The sequence below is a fragment of the Homo sapiens genome, chromosome 3 (assembly GCF_000001405.40).
Source record: "Homo sapiens chromosome 3, GRCh38.p14 Primary Assembly".
Lineage (NCBI taxonomy): Eukaryota > Metazoa > Chordata > Mammalia > Primates > Hominidae > Homo > Homo sapiens.
Genome location: NC_000003.12, coordinates 61,987,818 through 62,012,867, shown reverse-complemented (window position 1 = coordinate 62,012,867; position 25,050 = coordinate 61,987,818). Strand labels below are relative to the sequence as shown.

General features: G+C 40.7%; 1 protein-coding gene across 7 annotated transcripts in view; it reads right to left on the bottom strand.

The window, feature by feature from the left end:
* Positions 1-25,050, bottom strand: part of PTPRG (protein tyrosine phosphatase receptor type G) — a 736,039-nt gene that overhangs the window by 284,742 nt on the left and 426,247 nt on the right. For all 7 annotated transcript variants that reach the window (XM_017006961.2, XM_017006963.2, NM_002841.4 and 4 more), the window contains exons 3-4: positions 23,064-23,243; positions 9,371-9,519 (exon numbers count right to left, since the gene is read on the bottom strand). In XM_017006961.2, coding sequence (XP_016862450.1) covers positions 9,371-9,519; positions 23,064-23,243 — 329 coding nt within the window. The remainder of the gene's footprint in view (positions 1-9,370; positions 9,520-23,063; positions 23,244-25,050) is intronic.

Sequence of the window (25,050 nt, the reverse complement as noted above, 5' to 3'; positions counted from 1 at the left end):
TATTCCCTTCGTATCTCTCTGTATATTTTACTACAGGTTCAGCCATCTCTGAACATTTGAAGCCCTTTCATTTTTTTCTTTCCTACGATACAGATTGAGCATCCCAAATCTTAAAAATCCAAAATCTTTTCAATGCTTGAAAATCTGACACTTTTTGAGCTCTGATATGATGCCACAAGTGGGAAATTCCACACCTGACCTCACGTGACGGGTTGCAATGAAAATGCACTCACAACTTTGTTTCATCCATAAAATTATTTAAAACTTATAAAAAATTACCTTCAGGCTACGTATTTAAGGGGCATATGAAACATAAATGAATTCTGTGTTTAGACTTGAATCCTATCCCCAAGAAACCTCATTATATATAAGTAAATGTTCCCAAATAAAAAAAATTTAAAAATTAAACATTTCTGGTCCCAGACATTTCAGATGAGGAACACTCAACTGGTACAATAAGCAACAGTTAAGATTCTGAAAAAATGACTTCTACCTACTGCATCAGCGGTTCTGAAAACAACCTAAAACAATGACAAGAAAAACAGCAGAATTACTTACCTAATAAAACCAATTATGGTTAAGGTGTTGGAGATATTCGAGCCCAGATTCTGGAGTACTAACAGGAAGTCTCAGCCAAGCCTGCAGAAGCTCAGTCTTTCCATCTTTAAGATGGGTATAAGAAGAGTCCCTCTCTCACAAGGTTGACATGAAGAAACATCTAGAAAGTGCCTGATATAGGTCGTGTCTATTAAATTGCATCTACAATATCATCACTATTACCACTACCAACACCAGTATCAGTGACTTCAACCACAACCGCCACTACCCTAAGCCTTCTATATGGTTGTGAGGGCCACCACGGTCACCAAGTTTCTACACTGAGAGTATCTCCAACTTAACCAGGTTTTCTTTTCAGAGTGTGCCATCTTCTTTACTGTAGTTTTTGGTATGATTCAAACAGCTATCAGCACACCACGTGTCACTGACACACCATCAAACAGCCCTGAGCCAAGTTCTTGTCTAAGGATGACTGCGATGAGGACTGCCAGACATCATGGAGATTTACCAAGCCAGGGACCAAAGCTGTTTTACCTCACAAAACTTGCACGCTTGCTTTGCACAACCAGGCATTAACTTCTCCACTGAGTATTCTCTAAGTACTAGGGCATCCTCACATGTTCCTCTTAATTAACACAGGACATACACATAAAAGATCAGCCAGATGGAAATTAAACATTTCACTAGCAAAGGATGAAACATTCTGCTCTGAAATGGAATCTTTATTTCAATAAAGTCATTAACTAAATTTCAACCAATTCCTTTCCCATTTGATGGAAGTCACTACTAGGCTACACCACAGAATAGCAAACACCAGATAACCATGGGATGATCTCTCTAACACGTCCACGCTCCATGAAGAGGCAGCACAGAGAAAACAGGCATTGTCTTAAGCTTCATGACAAAGGACTCTGTGAAAAAAGAAACTTTTCAGAGACTCTATGAAAGGAGTTAACCAGCTTTCTATAGGCAGACAGTAAGGGAAGGGTTCCCGTAGAACCTCCGACCCGCCCCATGTGTTTACACCAGATACTTTGTGCAGATAAGGGAACCTGCACAGGGAGCTTGCCTAAATATGCCAGCGGCGGACAATTCAATTCCTTAACACATGCACGGGAGGGAAATAAATCAATATGAAGCAGCTCAGTCTAAGGGCCTGCATGCGCACTGGAAGGATGGGGTGGAGCCACCAGGAATTCACGCCATATACAAATAAGGAACCCAGCCTCATCAGTTTTTTAGATACAAGCCAGGGTATTCAACTGGGAAGGGGGCAACCGGAAACCATTTTTTCAGGATCCTTCTCTTTGCTGAAGGCTTTCCTTTCACTTAATAAATTCTACTGCACTCACTCTCTGGTGTCCACGTGCCTAATTTTTCCTGGTCATGAGACAAGAACCTGGACCTTGCTTAGCTAAAGGAGCAAAAATCGTGCATCACCTGTAATAATTCCAGGAACTGACATAAAGTACACAACACGGGGGAAAAACTGTTATACTGGAAATGTTATTTTTAATAGAAAATATCTCAGACCCCCTCTGATGACAGTTCTAATGATAAAACAAGATAGCATCAAGTTCATAAAGATGCTAAAAAATTGTTTCTTGAACAAGCCAAGATGTCTTTATAGTTTTATTTTTTATTTTATTTTATTTTATTAGAGATAGACTCTCATTATGTTGCCCAGGCTGGCCTTGAACTCCTGGGCTCATGAGATGCTGCTGAGTAGCCAGCACTACCAGCCTGGGCAACACAGGAAAACTTCATCTCAAAAACAAAATAGAAAAGGAAAAGAAACCAAAACAACAATGTATTTGAACAGGACCCCATTTCTTAAAAGGAATATGGACTAAAGGTTGAGAGGAGAAAAGTATAAACTTACATTTCCAAAACAGTGATATTATGAACTTATACACACACACACACACACACACACACAAGAAGAGAGGGACAGAGGCCATGTAAGTTTGGGAAAACATTGTGTTAAACAAAGGTAAACAGATTCTTCAGCGGAGGACTCTTCAAAGCCCTTAATATGCCAATGTACAAATAAATCTTCAAGAAAGTATTTCATCCATCACACTTATTTCCAGGCCAGGCATGGTGGCTCACACCTGAAATCCCAGGCTTTGGGAGGGCGAAGAGGGAGGACTGCTTGAGATCAGGAGTTCAAGACCAGCGTGGGCAACATAGCAAGACCTTGTCTCTACAAAAAATAAAAAACATTAGCTGGGCACGGTGGTGTGTGGTTGTAGCCCCAGCTACTCGGGAGGCTGAGGCAAGAGAACCGGTTGAGCCCAGGAAGTTGAGGCTGCAGTGAGCTGTGATCACACCACTGCTCTCCAGTCTGGGTGACACAGTAAGACCTTGTCATTCATACATGCATACAAATATGTATACATAAACTTATTCCAGCAGTGAAGGAGGGATTATTTAAGCGGTGCTACCCAACCTGACATGTAGTCTAGGCTTTAACATATCATGCTGCTGAAGCTCAGGATCCATGTGGGCCTCAAACCCTAGACAGGCTGGTCCACATCTAAGTAAGGCAGGAACCTGAGTGCCTGCATCAGTGTGGAGAGGGTGGCACTGTGCAAGGCCTTTATGTGTGTGACACAACTGGACGTGCTTACCAGAGACAAGGAACACATTCTCTTACCTGAGCCATAACCTAGGGGTCATTACAAGACAACTCTCCAACCAAAATGTGACAGACGTATTCCAGGGAAGAACCCCGATCGACTTCATAAAATTGATGGCAAATCATTAGGAAGGCTCTCAGGAGGAAGGCAGGATTTGAGCAGACAGGAGAAGAGTGCAGTAGGAGGTCAAGGTAACATACCTGAAGACATGGATATTGAAGACAATTGCAGGCCCAAACAGAATGTTCAAAGGAGAATCGATCACAGAACAAGGTCAGCCTAAAACTAGAAACTTCTGGCTGGACAATCCTGAACTTTGCCTAAGAATGCTGCACAATATGAAGACAAAGACAGGAGGAGGAAGAGAGAAGTACTGGGACACATCCACCCCACAGGGAGACACATGATTTAACCTGCTTGTGTCATGGTTGTAACTACCCAGCAGTGCTCTTTAGACATAAGACATTGAAGTCACTCAATAGGCATGAGACCCATACAATGGCCCTGGATACTTTTTCAAGACAAAAAGGTATTTTGTTCTTTTTATGAATTTGGTACAAAAACTAATTTGGTGGTAAAACCAGATATGAAGAAATGTGAAGCTATGTAGAGTACTGATATTTCCACTTAGCATGGCTGTTCATTTGCTCGTTATAGGAATATTAATGAATTTAAGGGTGTAGTTCCAGACCTTACTGGTTGCCTTCTGAAATATACATGGCACATGGGCTCCAACAGGGCCAGTACTAGTCCATGGCCTGTTAGGATCTGGGCCGCACAGCAGGAGGTGAGTGGTGGGCAAGGAGCATTACCACCTGAGCTCTGCCTCCTGTCAAATCAGCAGCAGTACATTCTCATAGGAGCACAAACCCTATTGTGAACTGCACGTGCGAGGGATCTAGGCTGCATGCTCCTTTTGAGAATCCAACTAATGCCTGATGATCTGAGGTGGAACAGTTTCATTCTGAACCCCCGACCCCACCCAGTCCACGGAAAAACTGTCTTCCACAAAACCAGTCCCTGGTGTCGAAAAGGTTGGGGACCGCTGGGCTATAATAACTTTCTAAGAAAGATTCTGAATTCTAAAACATCTGGCCTCAAGAGTTTCAGATAAGGGATTGCAGACCTGTACCATATGGTAACGTGTACATGGTATACATTAGGAAAAATGCCTTTGCTTCTATTCATTCACTAAAATGCTCTGAACAGAGCTGAAATGAACCAGCTGTGACTTTTACCAGAAGGGGCACATACAATCAATTTGGATCATTTAAGCTTATTGAAGACTTCAACTCATAAAGCACCAGTAAGTCTGAATCAACAACTCCCGTGATCTTTTATTGTCATAAATAAGATTTTAATTACCTCAAACAACAAGCATGCAATGAACCCCCCACTTTAATGGAGTTCTCAAAGGTTTTATCTGGAGGTTTCTCTTTGCATTAACTGCAACTTTGGTTATTAGTGGAAATACAGCATGATTCAATTTCTATTAGTGTTATATGAACCTTTATTTAAGTTACCAACCACAGAACAGGAATGAGTGTGGAATAGGAAAAAAGTTTAGGATACGATAGAAGCTGTCATAGATAACTGTGGCTGGACAGACAACAGAAAGCTGAGTAGCCACAGAAGAACTGAAACAGGTCATCCTGTTTTAATGACTGGAATATTCTGAGTTTGTTTACTTTAAGGACACTTAATCACATCTGCAAAGTCTGTTGTACCACATAAAGTAACGTATTTACAGCAGACATTTGGAAGAAGAGACATTATCTTGCCTACCAAAATCTCTACTGGCCTCTCTATTCCTTAAACTTAACAAACACCACCTGCCTCAGGGCTTTTGCATATCCTTATTCTACTAGGAAGCTCCAACTCATCTTTTCCGTCTAATAAGTATCCATGTCTCCATTGAAAGCTTCCATCCCCTATCAAAATGTCCCTCTACTTCAGACTATAACACAAATGAAATTGCACATATATTTACATGACCAATGTTTAATTTCTGTGTCACCACTGGAGTGTAAATACCTTGAAGGCAGGAACTGTGACTTTCTGACTTATCTTTGTGTACCAGCACAGGTACAACAGAAGATACTCAAGAAAAATGTGCTGCTAGGCAAGGAATAAAGCTCAGTAACAGGAGGTGAGGGCATCTGAGGATCCAAATTGAGTTCAGTCTCCAAGGCATGGCATTGTAATCTGACTTCAACTTTCTTTTCTAACTTTAACTGAGCTGTAAAGAACACTGGTTATTGAAGAGCTTTCGTCTTGTTTTGTTGTTTTGTTTGTACAAGGGCTTTCTTTGTTAACTATTAGACTAGATGTTTTTAAGTGTAGGAACTACAAGACGGAGTCTAGGATTCCAGCCAGGAAAATTCAGAGAGCTTTAATTTCTGGATGCCTACAAAGTTGTCTCAGATGACCTCAAAGAATTCCTGGGAAGCAACAAAACCTACAAAGTTGAGTTTGCTGCCATTTACCCTCAGGGAGCAGATCCAGCTTCTTGTGGGGCACATGTTTAAAATTCAGCCTGCAGAGCCACAGCACAGAGGGAGCTGTTAAAATTCCCAAGGTCGTGACTGCATCTCAAGTAGATACTAAAGAAACCAGGAACAGCAATGCTGTTACACATAAGGCAAGGTACATTTACTCTCTAAAAACCAAAGAGGATGGAATGACTTCCCAAGAAACAAGTCCTCTTTATTCAAATGTATTTTAAATGATGCTACTTAGATAAAGAAATGCTTAATTCCACTAAACACACTGCTTTCTCCACTCCAGAATCTCACCACAGTGACACTAGTGACATTTTGGGGCTGGATGATTCCTTTTAGTGGGGGCTGTCCTTTACATTGGAATGTATAGCAGTATCCCTGGCCTCTACCAACTAGAAAGTAATACCATAACACTTCTAACAATGGCAATAACAAGAAATGTCTCCAGACATTACCTAATGTCCCAGGGTGCAGGGGGGAGATGCTGACCCCAGCTCAGAACCATAGCTGTACTCTACCAATCCTAGTACAATCTTCAACAATGATTCTTCTGTAGCCCTCATACATACTGCATGCAAGACAAATAATTAATGCCCCCAATGCTGATAAATTGCTCCATGATAAATTAAATTTTCTTACTTTCATTCTAGTTTTTAAGAATGAAAACAATGTAGTTATATGGAAAACAATGTAGTTATATGAAAAGAAATAAACCAAGCGTAAGATGCTCAAATAGTATAAAAATCGTAGGGAGAGATGGGTATTAATGAAGAGCTCAAATAAAGCAACTTAACATAAAATATCACAGACACACTTTGGGCAAAGGCAAGCAACTTTCTTGTGCATATTTTAAAGTTAAATTTAATGCAGTTATTTAATCTCTGAAATTCAAGTTCCTCCAAATATACCATTAATATGGTTATCACATTTTTAGAAATCAAGCTATGAATCAGATGGACCTCAATGAGAAACCCAATTGATATAGGCAGCCTTACCATCTGACATTACTTAAAAGAAAAACATCCAAACAACCTGGTCAAACAATAAGCCTGGGCATGGTGGCTGCCATTTCTAATTAGCTTCTGAATTCAATGGCTCCCTCTGAGAAATGTAAAACTGAAATATTCATCAAAAGCCATAGGTTTCAAAAGAATATTAATCTCTGGCCAGGTACGGTGGCTCACGCCTGTAATCCCAACACTTTGGGAGGCTGAGAAAGGTGGATCATTTGAAGTCAGGAATTCAAGACCAGCCTGGCGAACATGGTAAAACCTTGTCTCTACTAAAAATACAAAAATTAGCCAGGCATGGTGGCACACACCTGTAATCCCAGCTTCCTGGGAAGCTGGGGCAGGAGAATTGCTTGAACCCAGGAGGCGGAGATTGCAGTGAGCTGATATCATGCGCCACTACATTCCAGCCTGGGCAACAGAGTGAGACTCCATCTCAAAAAAAAAAAAAAAAAAAAAAAAAAAAGGATATTAATGTCTTTGATACGTTATTCCCAGAATCAAATGTAAAGAGGAAACTGGCCATTTTTGGCATGAGGAAATGTAATTACACAGAGGCAAGGTTCCCAGTTCCTAGCTCTAGAGGTCTTCTTTTCCAAGGTAGCCATCTGATTAAGTTTTTAAACTTTCAGGACAGGTCTTTTGTCCAAAACGACATTAAATGAACAAACGGAAACCCAATTCTAAGACAAAGAGGCTTCAGAGCAAGGCTTGCTGGACACAAAGCTACCCCTTCAACTCATATTGCCAATGGGAACCTGTCAGCAAGACCAGAAGGAAAATCCTACACTTAAGAACATGATGTAATTTTGCTTCTAGGAATAAAGTTTTCCAAGTGGAAATAAAGCTAAGACTTCTAAGAAATGATTCATTCCATTTTAAGGGTGGAAGAGAACCAATTAAGTAGAAACCCAACTCATGAAAGATATCGTTATTGTGACTAGGATAGGAAGTCCCACAGATAGAGGAGTCCTAATGCAGGAAGAATTCTGATACTGAGAATTTGTCAGCTAAACAAGAAAAAACATGAAGCATTTTCTCAGAGTAGTTATCTCTGGTTTCTCCAGGAACAGTGGATAAGAAACAAATATACATGGCCATATAAGCATCTATAGAAAAATAAACATTACTTTCATATTGTGTAGAGATTCTTCAACAGAGCTTCCAGGATACTTAGAGGGTTCAAAAATGGGCCTGAGGAGCTAGGGAGAATGACGAAACCCTATCAGTTACATGTAAATCTATGTGTAGATAGATGCATGTGTCTTCTTTGTGAAGGGGGTCTCAAGAATTCATCAGATTATCAAAGCAGGACAAGACGTAGAAGCTATGAAATTCTAACAGTTGAAAACCTTTCTTGGCCATGCAGCTCCTTTGATTAACATATGTTACCAGTGAAAAGTCACTCCATGTTTGAATACAGCCATCGGCTGGAACTGTTACTGAAACACCAGGGGTTCGGTCTAGGTCCGGCTGCTCGCTGCACAGAAAGCCAATCACTGAGATCACAAGCATCGCCAAGGAAGGCTTTAATCGGGTGCTGCAGTCGAGAGAAGAGATGGAAGCTCAGTCTCAAATCCAGCTCCCCGACTGACTAAAACTAGAGATTTATATAGCAAGGAAGAAATGTAACAATGTGTAAGAAAACAAGAACTAAGGAGGGGCAAGGAGGTATTTGGTGCAATGGTCTGGTGAACTTCAGCCCTTTGATACTTTTTTGAGAGGCCTGAAGGTCCTTTCCTGAGGAAGGAACTCAAATAAAACATAAGTGTGGAGTTTTAAGAGCAGAAGGGTCAATTTCTATGTTTATCCAAAGCAACTGTCTATAGGACTATTGGGCAGGTTTCAGAACCACATCTATTTTGTTCTTCCACACACTTCTAAGGCTTACCACATGGGGGACCTACCAAGAAACAAACATGTTCATCACAACAAAAGAATATTCACACAACAATCATGATTAGAGGAAATATATAAGGTTGGCATTGGAAGAGATGTGCTGTCCCTACTCAACATTAATAAAGGAGTTGGAGACATGCTCCCGCCCTCACCCTGGCTCTAAGCAGATACACAGCAGCATCTGACCTAGTGCACCCACACCCTTCTTCTGTCCAGCAGGATGGATCACTGAGAAGACTGACACAGCAGAAGCAAAATGTCACCATCAATCCTAACAAAATTAACAGTGACTCATACCACCACAGCCTCTTTTTCAACAGCCAGTGAGAGCAAAAAAAACTTAAAACTTTGCTACCAAGAGAAGGTTCTGAGAGAGACTCCTCTTCATGTTGCCAACTTTTCTATTTTCTTAAGGGTGAAAATGAAGTCAACCCAGTTTCGTACAAAATGTCACCTTTCAAAAATGGGAACAGACAGTGAAAAGAAACTGTGTCAAATGAAACACATGATGAACATCATCAACCAGTAGTGAGTCTACTCAAACCATGATGCCTGTGGCTTCTGTGTTTCTCCAGTTAAACAAAGGTGAGAAACAAGGATGGATACCCACCTGCCATACTATGGATAAAGGGTTTCCAGAGAGAGGAAGTTAGGTACTGTACAGCTGTGATTTGCAAAATGACTGAGGGTAAGGGCACAGCATCTGATTAACATAAAGACCGAAGCACAGCTACACGTTGAGATCTTGACTTTCTCTCACCTCAACAGGAAACCTCCTGCCATTGATGCTGTGTTCAGAGCCCGCTGAGCCATTGCTGTGGCCCCAGTGAAATTCCACCTTCTCAGCTTTGAATCTGCCAGGTAGACCAGCTCCACTGACAAAATAGTCGTCTTTCAGAAGGATGGCGACTGTGTGAAACAAATGAGAAGAGAGGAAAACAAAGTGAGTTTCAAAACCAAATGGAGTTTTTCTGTTACTTCTAATAAAGTTCACCATTACCATGATATGAATTATGTCCTCATGTACCTATGAAAAAATATGTTGAACACACCCGCCTGAATAAATTAGTTCATTCTAGCTGCAGAATGCTCTCAGAGCACCAGTTGGCCCTAAATCATGATACTTTCCAGAGAATGATCTCAGAATTACTTATCCATTTAACAGATTTAAAAAAAAAAATGGAAACAATGACAGAAAAAGTCGCTCTGAATCAGTGTCTCCTAAAACTGCTTGATGGTCAAAATCATCTAGAGAGCAAGATTTTTCTTTTTAAGCACTGATTCATGGGGCTACCCCAAGATTCAAGGTCTGGAACAAGAGAGGAAATATATATGATCAGCCAGATGCAATAGGCATGTTTCTTTGGTCAGAAAATGTAGGCAAGATATCAGGAAATAAAAATTTGTGGGTGCTTCCAATATCAAGGCAACAGTAAGTGGGAAGACAGTTGGGAGTCTGTATTTAATAACAGTACCCAGGAAAGTGTAATGCAAAAATCTACTCTTGAAGTCACTCAAATACTGGCAGCTAACTCGTTTTCTTGACTGTTTCTTTTACTTTCAAGCAAAAAAATATTTTCCCTTAACCCATCCAAAGAATACCTGAAAGCATCCGCAACATAGGGAACCTCAACTAAATTCCAACCCTAAATTTCAAAAATATACTGCTCTTTCTTGAAATACAGGAAGGAGAAATTGAGAATAACTTGGATTTACACTGACAAAAAATATTTTTCCAAAAGGAATATAATGTCTAAATGCATAAAAAACAAATTCTATTCAAGAGATATATTCCCTTTTTTTGTTTCTCTAGAAGTGGATTCATTCATTCATTCATTCAATAAATACTTATTGGCTGCTAAACACATGTAAGGTGCCAAACAATATACCGAATGGTTTGTGATCAAAAGCCAAGCTTGTGTAAGCCATGGGAAAGTACTTATCCTCATTGTCTCCTCTTCCTAAAGAGATCCTAGTTAGAGCTTTAGCGAGAAATCCTGCATGAAAATTAGGTCTCCATAAAAGATAGGGACTAGGCTAATGACCCATTTCTAGAATACTGCAATTAGTTTCAGTACTTCTCTATATAAAGGAAGCATTAAAAGCAAGTGAAGGAACCTTCTCATATAAATCCCTTTTTATTGCATTCAAAAGGCAGTTTTTCTCCAACTTCTGAAAAAATATACAAGGAATGCTCAATTAGTAGAACAGCAAATTAAAGGATAAAATGAAGTAAAAGTAAGTGTTTCTTGTGCCAATTAAACATGCTACAGCACTGTGCCACCTTCACTCTGTGTTGGGCATGTTTTAGAACAGGGGTCGTAAACTTTTCCTGTAAAGGGCCAGTTGGTAAATATTTTAGGCTTTGCAGGCCAATTGGTCTCTACTGTAACTACTCAATCTTGTCTTTATAGCACAGAAGCAGCCACAGATAATACTTAAATGAATGGGTGAGGCTATGATCCAATAAACCTTTATTTAACCACACTGATATTTAAATTTGACAAAATTTTCAACGTGTCATGAAATATTACCGACTTTTCCTTTTCAAATCATTTAAAAATGTAAAAATGGGAAACTTATCATTGTGTGACCCTTAAAATATAATATCTTAGAAGATAATATCTAAAATCTTATATAAAATATATCTATATATACAGATATAATAAAATATCTTCTAAAATATTATATTATACCAACCACATACCTTTAGTTCTGATGTCAAAACATCTAGGCATTAGCTCAGTAGTGTTTCAAACACTGTTGATTCTTCTCAGCCAGTTATAAGTTCCATACATAACATTTTGCATCCACAGGACGAAGGCAAAACGTTTTGATTGCATCTGTTACAATACACCCAGGGAATCAGCAGCATCTTATAAATATTTGATTTTACCTAAATCATTTATATCTCTGTCAGGGGTCATTTTACTTGTTTTATATGAATAATTAAAAGCATAATTAGGGAACTGTACAATCTGAAACATTAATCTCATTTTTCATTTTACAGTGTTTCTCACCAGAGCACACAGCATGTTACATGTCCACCCACCCCTTCCAAAAATGTCTCATATTTTTGTTTACACACAAAACTGGAATGAGAGAACTTCCCCAGCTAGCACATTTTCTGATGACCAGTGATAACATTGAACTGTTTGAAACAGAATATACCGAAGGCAGTCACTGCAGAGCACAAGATGTCATGCATATGAGCTCAAGACATGTTGGAATTCCATTCTGCCACTTAACAGTGGTAACCTCAGGAAGGTTACCCAACTTCTCTGTGCCTCAGTTTCTATCACTGTTCAAATGGTGATAATTACTGCAGTGCCTACCTGGCTGGGCTATTTTGACACCTGGAGAAAAATCACACTGGGAAAGCAGATGATCCAGGGCCAGGAAGCCAGCAAACACATATTCAGTGGTGGTTATTTCCAAACTCATTTCTAGAATCAAGGGTGGAGCTCCTGGACAGCACGGAAGACTGGCCACACAGGTGTAACTCTCTGTTTTCAGAGAAAGTTATACTTTAAAGCAACACTTTCTCACACAATAACAAGTGTCATTAGGCAGGGACAATAGGAAGAGCGGGGGTGGCTCAAATACTATTTGGGAGGAGATCTTTTATTTTACTTTTTTTGAGATGGCATCTACCTCTGTCGGTTCTGAAGAGCAGGCAAGTGAGAAGGCTTCTCAAGAAAATGTTCAAAACCTAAAGCAATATGTAAACATTTGCATGCCAAAAAGGATGTGACTCTGGTCTCCTTTTTCTCTGGATGCTTCTCTCTCTGGATGTCTTTTCCCACATGTCTTCCTCCCTTCTGTTGCCTAGGTCTGCACCGTTCTTTCTACATTCTAAGTTCTCTGTAATCTGGCACCGAAGTCTGCCCTGGGTAAGAATATACAGGCAGAAACAGCAATAAGATACCATTTGGAGTCTATCAAATTGGTAAGGACTTTTTTTTTTTTTTTTTTTGGAGACAGAGTCTCGCTCTGTTGCCCAGGCTGGAGCGCAATGATGTGATCACCGCCCACTGCAACCTCAGCTTCCTGGGTTCAAGTGATTCTCCTGCCTCAGTGTCCTGAGTAGCCATGCTCAAATAATTTTTGTATTTTTAGTAGAGACAGGGTTTCACCATGTTAGCCAGGCTGGTCTCGAACTCCTGACCTCAAGAGATTCACCCACCTTGGCCTCCCAAAGTGTCGAGATTACACAGGTGTGAGTCACTGTGCCCAGCCCGGGCCTGGGGGGGAGATCTTAAGTATTGAGTAGATGCTTTTAGTTCACTAAAACAGAATAAAAAAAGATACTGCCTTTTCTGAATTATTTCTATCTTTTTGATTATATCAAAGAAAAGAAAATCATAGTTGGGTGCTAATATAACCCACATAGTTCCCTGATACTCATTCATTTCCCACTTTTACTCAAGAATAAGCATAACCCTAAAATTTAATAACATGAGCAAGATTGATTTATTTTTGTAGATTATGGACATATTTCTAGCAGTAAGTCTCTACCAGTCAAACAGAACTGGTTTTTCCAATAATGGTGTTGATAAAGAGTTTTCTTTTAAAATCAATTCATTTAATCAAAATGAAATAAATAAATTAGAAGAAAACGGTACTACAAAAATAATAAATACAAATAAAATTTAATCTAAAAATTAAAACAACAGCAGGAAAAGTTGAATCTGGATAAGGCACAAACTGGAAGGTGCCAAGCTAACAGCTAAAGACAGGAGAACAATGAATGGTGTTACAGACTGAATGTTTTTGTCCCTGGAAACTCACAAATTGAAACCCCAATCCCCCATGTAATGGTATGATGCGTCAGGGCCTTTGGGAGGTGATTAGGCCATGAGGGTGGAACCCTCGTGAATGGGATTAGTGCACTTCAAAACGAGATCCCCAGGCCAGGCACGGTGGCTTGTGCTTATAACCCCAGCGCTTTGGGAGGCTGAGGGGGGCGGATCACCTGAGGTTAGGAGTTTGAGACCAGCCTGGCCAACATGGTGAAATCACGTCTCTACTAAAAGTACAAAAGGCTAGCCGGGTGTGGTGGCGGGCACCTGTAATCCCAGCTACTTGGCAGGCTGAGGCAGGAAAATCACTTGAACCCAGGAGGCGGAGGCTGCGGTGATCGAGATAATGCCACTGCACTCCAGCCTAGGTGACAGAATGAGATATCATCCAAAAAAAAAGAAAAAAAGAGGCCTCCAGCCAGCTGCCTTCCCTTCCACCATGGAATGTGAGAAGGTATCATCTATGAATCAGAAAGCAGGCCCTCACCAGATACTGAATCTGCTGGTGCCTTAATCTTGGACCTCCAGCCTCCAGAACTCTGAGAAATGTTTATTGTTTAGGCCACCAGTTTATGTTATTTTGTTACAGCAGCCTGAACTAACTAGGACAGATGGGCTAAGAGCAAAGACAGGAAAGGTCTATGTGGTGAATGAAGTTTCTAGAACTATCCTTGCTGTGATTAATGTAGATTGTGATGAAATCAAAGCAGAATGATGGAGACAGTAGAAGAAGCTGGAAGCTTCAAATTCAGGGTTTCTTAACCTAGAGGCCAACAGTCCATAGCCGTGGCTACCTATGGGCTCTGGAGGTCTATACCTTCTTGATACAAGAAGTAAATTTCTGAGCATGGGGCACACGTGAAGCTTAGGAGCTGGACTCTGTAGCCAGTAAGTCCAAACTTGAATCCTAGTTCTGCCACTGTCCACTTACGAGAAAGTTAATGCACTTCTTGGTGCCTTCGTTCCTATTCTGTAAAATTGGAATAAGATAGCAGCTACTTCACAGGTTTGTTAAGGGGTTCACAAGGGCTGATATACGACGAATGCTCACAGCAGCAATTCATACACATCATAGAATAGCACTGGTGTTATGCAACCTTTAGGAAGGTTATTATCCTAGGGAAGGATCCACAGATTTCACCAGATTCTCCCTATGTCTGGGGCTCCCCATGATGTAAAGACGCTCCAGGCTATGCAAAGGGCCAGGGCAAAGCGTGGGTCAGGTCACATCTTAAATAAGGAATTAGTTTTCTCCTGAACTGGAAGGGTTGACCAAGTACCTGGCATTCATAGCATTCTTTGCAGGACATCCCCCAACTGTTTATAAATTAAATTCAACATGTGTGTATAACACAGGCTAAAGCAAATGTTCACACCAAAATCTGAGTAAACAGCAGCATGTGCTAAAAAGTAAAGAAAAATGGATGACAGGAAAACTAGCAGCTTACTATCATATCCTCCTACCCTGATGCACCGTTGCCAAGAGTATAAGGTAGAAAAAAAAGCCTACCATTATTGGACCCTAATGATGGGATCCCCAGACCACCTTCCACAATATTTGTGACATCAGAGGGTTGCCCTGGGACTCCTGGTAAAAGGGAAACGCTGTTGTCTGAAAGTCAGAATGCACTGGCTCTAGTTCCAGCCTTCCACTAATTTCCCTGTAGACATTGACATTCATGTTTTTCAAACACTCAACAAATATTTACTGAGTAATGACTGGCAGAAAAAGGTGGGTAAATCAGACACAACTCTTGCCCTTATGGAACTTACAGCCGATGGGAAGGACAGGTCCCAAGAACTAAACAGACAACAGAAGCAAACCTGCTAGTGGGACAAGGGGTAGCACCTGAGCATCGAACCCCAGATGAGAGAAGGGGAGGGTGTCATGGTCTGAGCTGAGAGTTAAAGGAGCTACCCCGGGGAAGTGCCAACAAGATGGGAGAACATCAAGAAAGAATCAATGGCCCTGTGGTAGTGGTAACGAGTAAGAGAAAGCCAAGGTGACAGGTACCCAGAGAGCAGGATGGGACACGAGGACAGAGCATGAGGCACGGACAGTGAGCAGTCTGTGTTTGTCCCAAGAGAAATGGGAAGTCCTTGATATGCTTGAGAGAGAGAACAACAAAGAGGGAGAGACAGACAGGCAAGATCAGATTAGGGAACTAAGTAGATTACTCTGGCTACTCTGTGGAGAAGGCCTGGGAGGAAAGCAATGCTGTCAGTAGAAATAAGTGAGGAGCTGATAGCAGTAATCCAGTAAAGAGTCACTGGACGTGCTGAGTAAGAGCAACCTCAGATATCCAAGAGATGACAAACTGCAGGATTATCCTGGGTCTCAGTTAACTCACTGCTAAACTGAGTGAGATGAACAAGGTGGATTAGTTAACACTTTTAACCATATAAGACACGAAAGATGGAGGAGTCTAGCAGAGAACGCTGTACCCTAAAACAGAAAAGGTTCTTCAAAAAATGGCCTGTAACATTCAGGGTAATTGGTTAATGAGGCTTCTGTCTACACAGAAACTAGTTCCTACTACTGAACTTGGGGACTGAGGCTGTGGGGATAACAAAGAAAATGGAGCTTAGCAGACAGGAAACACAGCTTGCAGAGTATCTAGCCAAAGAGTGACCCAGTGAAATAGCTCCAAGCTCAATTCCAGGGTTCAGGCAAAGCTGGATAGTATTAGAATGAAAGAACCAAAGAATGTGGGCCTTTGAAACAGGAAAATGTATAAAGTAGAGCAAAAGCACACTTAGCATTCCCCAAATAAAGAATGGATTTTAAAAATTAAACTTACATTTTCTTTCTTTGGGCAACCTTAAGCTAACCAGAGATGCCCCAGGGTACTACAAAGACACTGTTTATATTAGACACGCCCAATATAAACAATGCCAAGGGCCCAGATGTTTCCAAATGTCTGTCTACTTGGCTGATGTTCTGCTCTTAATCAGAAGCTTGGCAGTCTCTTTGTAGGTGAAATGACCTATTCATCAGTGCCATAAACAAAACTCAGAGTAAAAAAGCAACTGTTGATCAAGGAATGATGACTCCACAATGGTCTACCATCATCATCCCATATTTACACCTATTAAGGATCATTACATTGAGGAGGCTACTGGAAGCGTTATAATTAAAAATAAAAGTAATGATTGGTACCAGGTGAGTTTGAAACCCTCCCAGAAATACATTTGGGGAATCATTCATGTATTTCACTTTTCCAGGCCCTCCCCATCCAATATTATCAGGGATAAGAGAGGTTTTATTACAATAAGAACACATTTAGGTTATTATTGTCAATATCAAAATCTACTCCACAGATACAACAAATAAAAACATTTTTTAAACTTCAGTTCTCTTCTATGGCCAGCTCTAAGGAAAGAAGACAGGAAGAAGGGAGAGAAGGGGGCCAATGCTAGGAGCAAGGAGTGAAAACAGGCAGAATCAGGCAGAGAGACAGAGACATGCCCCAGCGGAGGCAAATGCAAGAAGACACAGGAGGAAATGCGGGAGAGAATGAAACAACAAAAAATGTAAAGGCTCGTGGAGAGATCCGTAGAGAAAGACATATCGAGTCCAACAGAATACAAAGAATAGTCAGAGGTTGCAGTGAGCAGAGATTGCACCACTGCACTCCAGCTTGGAGACAGAGTGAGACTCCATCAAAAAAAGAAAAAGAAAAAGAAGGAGGGAGGGAGAGAGGGAGGGAAGGAAGGAAGGAAGGAAGGAAGGAAGGAAGGAAGGAAGGAAGGAAGGAAGGAAGGAAGGAAGGCGGGCGGGCAGGCAGGCGGAAAGCCTAGACTATCAGAAACATATGAAGACACACACATACACAATACCTACACACCCCCATACCCACACACCCACACCCCCCTCACACACACACAAACACACTTTTCCTAGAAACTTCCTAACCAATCTCTTGATTACTAAAGGCATCCGTGTTACACTTGAGCAACCATGCCACTGTTGGATCACATCTTGCATGAGGGCTAGGCACAAAAGTCCATCAGTTTTGGAGGGAAATCAGACATCATGAAGATTGCTATTGAAAACCTTGTAATGAGCCAGGCGCAGTGGCTCATGCCTGTAATCCCAGCACTTTGGGTGGCCGAGGTGGGGCAGATTGCTTGAGGCCGGGAGTTTGAGACCAGCCTGGCCAACATGGAGAAACCCTGTTTCTACTAAAAATACAAAAATGAACTTGGCTTGGTGGCATGCACCTGTAATTCCAGCTACTTGGGAGGCTGGGACATAAGAATCACTTGAACCTAGGAGACGGAGGTTGCAGTGAACCAAGATGGTGACATTGCATTCCAGCCTGGGCAACATAGCAAGACTCTGTCTCAAAAAAAAAAAAAAAAAAAAAAGAAAGAAAGAAAAGAAAAAAGAAAAAAGAAAAAAAAAACCTGTAAGGTACCCATCTAAAGTGGTAGCCTGGTGCTGACTCTCAGTAAGGCTCACACATCCTTGTCTCCACTGACCTTGGAAGAGACAAGCGGCTCTTCAGGGCTGCAGAGAGGCAGCAGTCAACAGGGCAAAGAGTATCTTTCAACTCCAGATACTTGCTTGACCTTGGGGAGGGGTAGTTACCCCTGGCCTGTGTCTGAGCAGAGCAGCAGAGCTACATCCTCCTCCAACACTTAGCTTGGGTCACAAGCTCAGTCAGGGAAATAGCATGTGGAAGTGACCAAGGTTGTTAAGATTTTATTTTTCTCTTTTTACCAGCTTGCAATTAGTTTGTTCATTATTTAGCTTGCCTCTGTGTGCTCTTAAGTTGCTACTCTACTAAAAACTTCTAAGAGCCAGGTAAAGTAAACTCAATGCAACAGTGTCCTACTACTTGCCTTACTTTTATGGGCTCAGTAACATACTAGAAAATGACTCTTGACTTCCCCATCTATACATAGTTTCCCTCCCGTTGATTCTTGTGTGAATTGAATAACCATATTTTGAATCCACCTGTATCACAGGCACTATGGCATATGCAGACAAATAGGGAAGAATGTAGGCAAAGAAAAAATATAATAAACCAATACAATGTGAGAAGATGAAAGTAGCATGCCTTGTGGTAAACACATTTACTATTTGTCCTCAGTGTGGGATATAAGAAAAAGTAGTTTAAAAAAATAAAATAAAAATAAAATAAAAACCCTCCCAATAGTTAAAATTCATAGAAGGCCACGTCTTATTAACATACATCAGAAGCACCGTCTAAGTATTAAATTCTGATCATTTTGCTGGAAGCTAATGCTAGGAACAGCAAGATTGTCTTGAAATGTTCTTGATGAATGCATTACCTTTTCATTCTACAAAAATGAAAGAAAGGGAAATAACTTTAGATGAAATCAAATGGGAACTGGCACAATAGATAGTTACGGCTCCTCAGGAAGAAATAGAGAGATGCTATCTGTCTTGTGAAGATATTTTAGACAACTTTCGAGAAGTGGGCTAGGTACAACCAAGTTGCTCTATTGATTATGCTGGATAGGATATATAGCACTCTCAGGGGATTAAGACAGATCTGAACATTTAAGCTGTTTTATGGGAGAGTTACTGTCTGTATGTAATAGGCCGCTTTAAATATTAACTTTCTATATTCATATTTTAATATACAAAAGACAGAGTCTATTTTACAGATAAGTGACCTGTAAATTTCCATCAGAAAAAAATAAATACTCCCTCTTGAATTTATTTCCTGGAATATAAAGTTCCACAAAATACTCTAAAATACTTTTAGGTATGCAAGATAGATATAAAATGGATGGCACAAAGACAGACCATGTGGCTTATGATACATGAATTTTTTTAAATTAAACTTTTAATTTTTCTCAGAATAGCAGATTCACATGCAGTTGTAAGAAATAATGCACAGATACCATGAGCCCTTTAACCCATTTCTCTTAATTGTACAATCTTTCAAAACTAGTACAGTGGGCCGGGCACGGAGGCTCATGCGTGTAATCCCAGCACTTTGGGAGGCAGAAGTGGGCGGATCACCTGAGGTTGGGAGTTCGAGACCAGCCTGACCAACATGGAGCAACCCCGTCTCTACTAAAAATATAAAAAATTAGCCGGGTGTGGTGGCGCATGCCTGTAATCCCAGCTACTCAGGAGGCTGAGGCAGGAGAATTGCTTAAACCCGGGAGGCGGAGGTTGCGGTGAGCTGAGATCACACCATTGCACTCCAGCCTGGGCAACAAGATCAAAACTCCATCTCAAAAAAATAAATAAATAAACCAAACAAACAACAACAAAAAAAACTATAGTACAGTGACAGGTGGTTTCTTAAAAAAAAAAAAGAAATAGGTTACCTATCAATATTATTCAATGTGGAAATTATCAACCCCACCCTAATTTAGCCTGCACTAATATGCACTGTTCAGTTGAATTTATATGTTCCAGACAAAACAGAGCAAATAAATACTCATTTCTCCAAAATTCTAAAAAATTTATGAACTAATGTGGCGTGTTAAGATCCACAGAATAGCCAAGCATGGTGGCTCATGCCTGTAATCCTAGCATTTTGGGAGGCTGAGGCAGGCAGATCACTTGAAGCCAGGAGCTCAAGACCAGCCTGGCCAACGTGGCAAAACCTTGTCTCTACTAAAAATACAAAAATTAGCCGGGCATGGCCGGGCACGGTGGCTCACGCCTGTAATCCCAGCACTTTGGGAGGCTGAGACGGGCAGATCACTTGAAGTCAGGAGTTCCAGAGCAGTCTGGCCAGCATGGTGAAATCCTGTCTCTACTAAAAATACAGAAATTAGCCAGGGGTGGTGGCGCGCACTCCTGTATTCCCAGCTACTCGGGTTGCTGAGGTGGGAGAATTGCTTCAACCCGGGAGGCGGAGGTTGCAGTGAGCCGAGATTGCACCAATGCACTGCGGCCTGGGTGACAAGAGCGAGACTCCGTCTCAAAAAAAAAATTAGCCGGGCATGGAGGTGGCTGTCTGTAATCCCAGTTACTCAGGCCGATGAGGCACGGAAACTGCTTGAACCCGGGAGGCAGAGGTTGCAATGAGCTGAGATCATGCCAACTGAACTCCAGCCCGGGCAACAGAGTGAGACCGTCTCAGAAAAAAAGACCTACCAAATGAAGGAAGTTTCTATTAGTGTTAAAACAAAACAATACAAGTTGATTTCTGCACCCAAGTTTCTAAACCACCATAAGTTAAAACTCTTTCAAGAGATTAAAAAAAAAAATGCAAAAATGCATGTTCTTTGTTTCAAATTGCATATAACTGGTTGTCACTTTTTAAAAACCCTTCCTACAGAATCATCTTAGAGTATTTACAATATATTGGCCTATCTAATATTATGTAGTGAATTTTACAGTAATAAGTTGTATGAGAGTAACAAAGATCTATTTCTGCTTCTCAGAACACTGTGCTTCTGAAATTTCTGAGACTGATGGCTTCGTATTTGGATAGCTTTGCTCTAAAATCAAGTGCATGCACTCAGAGATATGCAACAGGTTGTGGATCACTCTAGGAAGCCAGGAGAGTGACACAGATTGATAATCAGCTTCTGGAAGACCAAGGTCATGAATCAGCTTGCATCGAGTGAACCCTACATACGTCTAAAACCTGTCATTGGTGATACGAAGCTGAAAGCTGTCAATGAAACGTGTTATCTTTGCCGAAGGCTGTCAAGCGTTGCAAGTCAAGTAGAAAACCGTATCAGAGAGCCCAGTGATTGTCTTTGACAGCCTTCCAGAATGTGGTGCTGAGGTGGTACTCAGTTCCAATCTGATTGCACCCAGTGTGGCAAAGCTCTCGCCCACTACATTTAGATGGTATGAAGAGAAATAATCTCATTGCGGTTATCCTAAGAACACCATATTTAAAACATAAAGTAGGGCAACTGATAGGTAAATTCTGAATTGTAACAATAAGCACACAATCTGTGCTGGGGTGGTAGAGAGGTGAGGATGAAAAGGTACGTACAGGCCAGGTGCAGTGGCTCATGCCTGTAATCCCAGCACTTTGGGAGGTCGAGGCGAGGAGATCACCTGAGGTCAGGAGTTCGAGACCAGTCAGGCCAACATGGCAAAATTCCGTCTCTACTAAAAACACAAAAACTAGCTGGGGGTTGTGGCACATGCCTGTAATCCCAGCTACTTGGGAGGCTGAGGCAGGAGAATCGCTTGAACCTAGGAGGTGGAGGTTGCAGTGAACCATGATCATGCCACTGCACTCCAGCCCGGGCAACAGAGTGAGACTCCGTCTCAAAAATTTAAAAAATTACGTACAAATAACATTATTGGATCACCAGTTTTTTCTACGCAGCTACTCATATAGATGAATCAAGGTACAGGAGAGGGTCACCTGCTATAACACAGGAAGCAGAATTGTTTCTGGGGGCATTATAAAAAAGGCCCAAAGCCAGGAATCACTGCGCTAAGTGAGTGGGAAGCAATTCTATGAACATGCCAGGCAAACTCAAAGCAATCAGCTATGAATAATCTCAAATGATGGTTTGGAGAAAGAAAGAAAATGGATCCCTAAAGCTGCCCATTTAGCCAGTTAGGTTATTTAAAAAAAAAAAAAAAAAGGCAACTTTGTGACCTACAACATGAATAGCACCAAAGGGCTAGGAGCTAAGTCATTTTAGCCCAGCATGAGGGCTCTGACAGCCAAGGCTCCTGAAAGGGATTACTAACAGTGGTTCACAGTGACATCCTTGGTTACAAAGGGTTCACTTTAAGAAGAGAAAGAGAAAAAAAAACTTGCTTTAATGGGCCAAAGTCATAAGTAGTTAAGTAATAAGAGTGAAAAATATCTTTAGGCATCAACAGAACCCCAGGTAGCACTAAGCAGAGATGTAATATAACATCCCAGAGCTTATTTTCAGATCGTACAGTGGAGCACAGCAAGGCATTCTCTGGTACTTACAAGGACAATCTATAAACTGATATTTGCACAACAGTAATTGAGAGGGAGGCAGCTCTTCGCATTAGCAATGGTAAAAAGACGATGCTGCATATTCACAAATCCCAAAATGACAAGTGGAAGAATTGAATTGCTGGTCTGATACACAAAGGGATGAGACAGTTCATCTGTACTCGGAAGTAATAAAAAATATTAATAAAGCAAAATCTCAAGAAAGATAAGAATTCTGTTTCCATTTGCATATTTGGCACAATGTTACCTGATAGAACTTTCTGCAATGAGAGAATGTCCTCTGTCTGGGCTGCCCAATAGGGTAGTCACTAGCCGTATGTGGCAGATAAGCACGTGAAATGTACCTAATACAACTGAGGGACCAAATTTTAATATTATTTAATTTTTAATTAAAACTTAAATGGAAATAGTCACATGTGGCTAGTGGCTACTAGATTGGGTAGCTTTCTGAAAGTCCTTCTACATACCTTACATCTACTAACTCATTTAATCACTACTACCCTAGGTCTAGATGTATAATACTTTATTATCTATAGTTTATATTTTTAAAAAAATGAAGACACAGGGTGATTAGCCACAGAGTGATTTACTGAGTTACATAACTTGTTCTGAAACTAAGGACTGATTTAGGCTCCCCACAGCAATGTGCACTATTTAAGGAGCAAGTCATGGTTAAGGAAAACACCAGAGACATCCAAAAATAGTTCCTGTTGCTCTGTGGACAAATAAAGAAGCCATTGTCTACCTGTTTTCCCTGTGTTTTTCATCCAGGTTTTGTTAGAAGACTCATTGTCGAAGCCATCGAGTTGCAGTTCCTGGTATTCTTCCCCAACACGCGCATACTGGTCTAAAATGTCAATAGGAGACTGGTGACGGCCCCCACAGCTGACACTAGACGTGACCCAGTGCTCAGGACCATAGGCACCTGTTGAAAGAAGACAACACTTCAATCCTCATGGTTCAAGGGTCAGGGATGAAATGAATAAATCTTAGGAAGCTGAGCACTGCATCTCTCAACATGTCCCCAATCCAAAGAGGTGAATGTACTGAAAACTATGAATCAAAGCCATTGGCCTGATGTGACAAGAAGATTTCAGAAAAGATGTTACTTAAGTTAGTTTTGCTTCTTGATTTACAATCAAACATTTGCTAACTTTATCTTTAATCAGGTTAAGAGAGTTGTGTAGAAGGGCTATTAGGGTTGTCCATATTTCTGACAATTTTTAAATGTTTCCTAAAATAAGCAGAGCATTTATTCACAAAAAAAGCACCTTGATCGAGTTAGCATGTTTTGCTATTGTGGGCAATATCCTAAATACAACTTTCTTCTTAGCCCATAAAAGACTGTAAACATGAAAAAGGGAAAAAAAATTAAAGGCAACAGAAAACTAGATGAGAGGCATTACAAATCATGGAGGCAATAAAGGCAGGTTTTTCCTTTGGCTAATTGTGAAAGATTTTTCAGTTTGGCCCTCATTTGTACACTTGAGTGTTAAGACACTCATCTCTCCTTTTCAATCCTTCTCTCTCGTAGAAAATGCAGGTATAAAGTTACCTTCAGACTGGACTCTGTACTCATATAAATAAAGAATTTGGGGGGACATATGCCACAGAAATAAATGAAGAAAGCACAACCATAAAGCATAATTCTAATAGGTACCAATCAGGTATAAATACAGAAAACACACTGCATTTGCCTCCCTGTCCTATTTGGAAATGAAATATTATGGGAGCAGTTTCTATTACGTTGACTACAGGCTCTTAGACTTTTCTGCATCCTACTTTTAACCTTGTTGACACAACAAAGCGGGAGTAGCCTGCTGAAACAACTTTTACTGGAAAGATTAAGACTGAATCCTTTATTGAGAATTAGATAAGAAAAAAACTTCACAATTTTTAGCAAGTAAAACACAGGCTTCCCAATGAGAAAGCTTAATGTGTGTATATACATTCATCTACAGAAATACTGGTAGATGGGTGGGGATTTTTGTGCCTCCTGTATACCTAGCCTCATACAATGGAAGACACAAAGAAATCTTGTTTAGTTTATTAGTAGGTAAGTCTAACTACTAGCCTTGTTAGTTTAGTAGTAGATAAACCTGCCTACCACTAAATAAGAGTCCACATGAGTGGCTGCCACCCAATCATTTGCCATGGCTTTCCCCATTCCCCCCAAACTGGTAACAGCTCACAGTAGATATAAACAATGGTACAAGAAAAATGGGACAATCACAGAAAGTATTTTCCATTATGGTAAGGGAGGTTTCATGGCTGCAAGAGCAATGGATATAGCTCCTTAAAAATGATGCATATTTTTGCTATCTGGAAAATACCGCAGCCTCACTCTAATGCTTCAGTCATTCTCCCTAATCCTCATCCCAAAGAGTAAGATTAAAAACAGACTATCCAAATGAACATGTTCACTGACTGGCAAAGGTCTAGCAACCTTGGGGCACTTTTAAGTCATTTATAAGTGTCGCGCTACTATCCGGAAAAAGTTCACATCACCATTTTCTTCACTGCACGATTACAACTGTCATAGGCTTTTCACTCATGTATTTTTTTACCTCTTTGTCAAATTCCCTATGACTGTGATGATTCACAAAGGGATAGTATGCATTTGCCATATATTTAGCCAAATTTTATTTTGGCCAAACTTTATTTTCATCTTGCATCTACATATTTGGAGAAAAAAGAAAAAAAAGGAGACGAACGAGACGTAAGGAATGGCT